This window comes from Homo sapiens, chromosome 12, assembly GCF_000001405.40.
Source record: "Homo sapiens chromosome 12, GRCh38.p14 Primary Assembly".
In the NCBI taxonomy this organism is placed as follows: Eukaryota; Metazoa; Chordata; class Mammalia; order Primates; family Hominidae; genus Homo; species Homo sapiens.
The window spans coordinates 5,042,653-5,047,190 of record NC_000012.12 but is presented as its reverse complement, the minus strand read 5'-3'; the positions used below and the strand labels follow the sequence as shown (position 1 = coordinate 5,047,190).

Sequence of the window (4,538 nt, the reverse complement as noted above, 5' to 3'; positions counted from 1 at the left end):
TCTCAGAGCTGCTGAGAGCCACCCTGAGGAGGGCTGAAAACCTGCAAACAAAGGAATGAAAGCCAGTGCCGGGAGACCCAATAAGACTGTCAGGGGTCTGATCCCCTTTTTCCTTTAAGTGCCCTCCCTACTCCAGGCTGACCATAAGGGCTGATACTACTGCTTCAGAGAGCATCTCACAGGGGCGTCCGTGCCATAAACAGCCTGGACAAAATTCACCCACCATTGTCTATGAGGCACCAAGGGGTGCACTGAAAAGACGTCGCCAAGCAAATCATGAGCTTTTCAGATTTCCTCTAACCCCAGTCAATGCGTTTGCTCTGATGTCAAAACCAGAAACAGCCAGTGACAGACTATTTTTAAAAATTTCAGAAAATGTATCAGCTGCAGAAAAACTAACACTTGCCTCAACAAGGTAACCTTTTATTTCCTGGGATAAAAATAAAGACAATAAATTATCAGAAGTATTCCTCCAATATCATTAAAATGCTTTTTGAAGAAAGTTACAAGAATTGTTTAAGGCGCACAGAAAAAGTCAGATTTGCCTTTCTTCAAGAACATACTCTGCCCTAGACACAAAGCACCAATACCACATCCCAGAAAAGACAGAGGCTTGGAGACACAGGAAACAGAACAGCCCATACCAAGATCTCTGACTCTAATATAAGTAACACAGAAAAACATCAGGACAACTCTTTCTTCCATAAATACAACATGTATCTTGAAAATATACCCAAAATATCTCTATCTGAACTACAGTACAAAAAGCCACTTACCAGGCATAAAAATAATATTTTCCCCTATACACAAATACAATCATATGTAAAGCAAATTTGGAACACATGGATGGAGGAGTTACATAATCTCTTGGGATCTGGGCTATTTAGAGTCATTTTTGTTTGGGTTATCCCTCTGCTGGGTATAGGAGACTGGCTACAAATACATCCATCTCACAGCGCTCACCATTTCCACAGCTCCTGCGTCATGGAATGTGGTACTTTTTAAAAATAGGCGACCCTTGGGTGTCATGGAAAGAATAGAGAAAATGGGGGGATCGAGGGAGGGAGGAAAGGAGTGAAAGGAGAGGGGTAGACTGAGGTTACAGTGTGACTTCAAATACTCTGCGGTATAATGTAGATATCCATGTTCAGCAAGCCTCCCATTCCCTACTCCACTGCCACCAGTCTGCCTGAATCTCCTTTCACAAATCTGTTTCCCGGCTGGTGTCCAGGCAGAGGGCATAAAGGGACCTCCGCAAGTCCACGTTGCTCTTGGCCTTGACGTTACACTTCTCTAGGGGGCAGCTGCCCCTTCGGGCACTGTCTGCATTCTCCAGGGTCCCCCCAGCCTTGCAGAAGGATCCCCTGCTCCCGCTGACCTTCCGCTGGACTCCTCTGTCCAGCCCCGGCCCCTGGCTCTGAGTGCCCTGCTCTTCCTTAAGGACTGCCGGCTCCTCGTGATCCGTTTCCCGGTGGTAGAAGTAGTTGAAGTTGGAGACGATGACGGGCACAGGCAGGGCAATGGTGAGGACCCCGGCGATGGCACACAGCGAGCCCACGATCTTGCCCCCAACAGTGATGGGCCTCATGTCCCCGTAGCCCACAGTGGTCATGGTGACCACTGCCCACCAGAAGGCGTCAGGGATGCTAGAGAAATGGGTTCCCTGGTTGTCAGCCTCTGCGAAGTAGACGGCACTGGAGAAGAGGATGACCCCGATGAAGAGGAAGAAGATGAGCAGCCCCAGCTCCCTCATGGAGGCCTGCAAGGTCTTGCCCAGGATCTGCAGCCCCTTGGAGTGGCGGGAGAGCTTGAAGATGCGGAACACCCGGACCAGGCGGATGACTCGGAGGATGGCCAGGGACATGGCCTGCTGCCCATTCTGGCCGCCTCCTCCACCCCCTGGCTGCTGCTCTGCCAGTTCGGTGCCCAGGGTGATGAAGTAGGGGAAGATGGCCACCACATCGATGATGTTCATGATGTTCCGGGAGAACCCTGCCTTGCTGGGGCAGGCGAAGAAGCGCACGAGCAGCTCGAAGGTGAACCAGATGACGCACGTGGTCTCCACGATGAAGAAGGGGTCGGCCAGGGTCCTGGGCAGGAGCGGTGCCACCGTAGGGCCAGAGGGCGGGGCCATGACCCCGCTGCCGTTGGCCCCAGGGGCGGGCGCGGGAGGCTGGTGGGGCGCCGGAGGGTGGCGGAGCAGCTCACGTTCATCCCTGAACTCAGGCAGGGTCTCCAAGCAGAAGGTGATGATGGAGATGAGGATAACCAAGACCGAGACGATGGCGATGGCCCGCGCGGACCCAGAGCTCTCCGGATACTCGAAGATAAGCCACACCTGGCGCTGGAACTCGTTGCGGGGCAGGGGCTTCTCCTCTTCTTTAATGAAGCCCTCATCCTCGCGGAAGCGCTCCATGGCCTCGTCCCCCAGCTGGTAGAAGCGTATCTCGTCCGCGAACACGTCCAGGGAGACGTTGACCGGCCTCCGCAGGCGGCCCCCGGACTGGTAGTAGTAGAGGATACCGTCGAAGCTGGGCCGGTTGCGGTCGAAGAAGTACTCGTTCCTCAGGGGGTCGAAGTAGCGCAGGCGCTTGGCGGGGTCCCCCAGGAGTGTGTTGGGGAACTGCGCCAGGGTGCCCAGCTGCGTCTCAAAGCGCAGCCCGGAGATGTTGATGTGGACGCGCTGGTGGTGCAGGGACGCCGTGCCCAGAGCCTGGTCCTCCACCGTGCCCAGGCCGGGATCGCCTTCTTCCTCCTCGTCCTCGGGAGGCGGCCGTCGAGGCCGTGGCAGCTCCTCTGGCAGCGGAGGCAAGGGCCGCACTCCCGGGTCCGGCAGCGGAGGCAAGGGCCGCACTCCCGAGTCCGCGTCTCTCTGCGCGCCGCGCCCCTTTGGCGCCGGCTCCTTGGGCCCATCGCTGAGCCCAGCCGTCGGGGGACACTGGAGCTCTCCCCCTGTGGCCTGGCCGCAGCCTGCCCGGGCCTCATCGCCTCCTCTGACGGTCATGGCACCGCCGTTCTCCAGGGGCACCAGGGCGATCTCCATGGCGCGGGAGCAGAGGGCATGCTGCGCCCCAGCTGACCGGCTCCCGCGCCCCCTACTCACGCTCCGCGGGCGCCTGGCGTCAGGCTCCGCTCCAGCGGTCGGCCGGCCCCTCTCTGGGGAGAGCTGGGGTTGCTGGCGCGATCCCCTCGCTTGGCCCTGACGTCAAGAAGCCGCTGCCCTGCTCTCTGCCTCTCTCTCTTCTGGCAGCCCGTTACCAAGCAGCCGAAAAGCCTCCTTCCAGCAGATGCAACCTTCAGCCGCCCCTCTCTGGCTGCGCCGCGCTTGGCCTCCACCCTCGGCGCCTCCCCCGCCTTCCCCTCCTCTCCCCCTCCTCCCGCTTCCCCTCCCGGGTCTCGTGGCAGCGGGTGTCTCCCCGGAGGGCGCAGCTGGGGCCCCTAGCAAGGGAAAGGAGGGGCTGAGAAGGGTGCAGCCCAGCGGAGGGAGGGAAGGAGTGGGGAGGATGGAGGAACAGGTTGTACCGACAGCGCTGAAATTCCCAGGGCAACCAGATGAGAATAGCTCTGGATTTCAGTTCACCTGGGAACCCGCTGGAAGCCGAGTGGACTCCAGGAGGAACGAAGTGCCTTGGGCTAAAGGGACGAGGCTTTGAGCTGAGTCGGAGTATGAGAGACAGAGACGGGAGACACCAGTCCTTTTTATTTTGGAGAAATAACGGTATTTCTTTGGGAAGGATTACAGAAGGGAGGGGGGCCACGTAGTTACGGACCTTGAAATACATGTATCAATGGAGAAGCATCTCTCTTCCCGTCTTCCTACAGATCCACAAAAATGTACAAGGGGGTTGGAACCCTGCAGGATTCCCATGCCCTAGCCTGTTTCCAGTACAGACCTGGTGGCAGCCCAGGCAAGCAGCCTAGTCAGGAGATGAGCTGTCTGGTCTCAACCCAGCAGAACCCCTCCACCCGCTCCAACGAATCCCATTTGCAAAAACCACAGCAGGGAAGGGGAGAAGCGATTTTTACAATCCTGGTGAGGGCTAATCCTGCCTGGTGAATCTTGGACCGAGCAACTGCATCTAGGTCCATGAAGGAGACTGAGGGTGGAGGTGGCTTATGAGAGGGAGCCAGGGAGGTTGTCCAATCTCCAAGGCTGGAGCATTCCCAAGAATGGAATAATAACAACCAATACTTACTTGGCTCTCATTATGCACCAGCCCACTCTCAGCACTTTACAAATATTGTCTCTGTGTATTCCTACAGCAACCTATTTTGTAAGTACTATTATCATCACCATTTTATAAATGAAGAAACTGAGGCACAGAGAGATTGACAGACTCACCCAGGCTTATGCAGGTGGAAACTGATGATGCTGGAACTCAAACTCAAACAATCAGAGTTTGGCCCTTGTCCCCTATATTTCACTCCTCTATAGAAATGCATAATCCCTTTTCCTGATACAAGCACTCCCTCACTCCAACATCTGGCCTGAGAACTTTAGTTCCCTGCTGCAGAAGGCAGGATGATGGCTGATATAA

The 4,538-nt window shown here is 56.1% G+C and overlaps 1 protein-coding gene across 1 annotated transcript; it reads right to left on the bottom strand.

Moving 5' to 3' along the window:
* KCNA5 (potassium voltage-gated channel subfamily A member 5) lies at positions 403–3,312 on the bottom strand. The gene has a single exon (NM_002234.4). The coding sequence runs from the start codon at positions 3,041–3,043 to the stop codon at positions 1,202–1,204; it is 1,842 nt and encodes a 613-aa protein (NP_002225.2). The 5' UTR covers positions 3,044–3,312; the 3' UTR covers positions 403–1,201.

Coding starts and splice junctions, on each gene's coding strand:
- KCNA5 (NM_002234.4), bottom strand. CDS start 3,043: ATGGAGATCGCCCTGGTGCCCCTGGAGAACGGCGGTGCCATGACCGTC.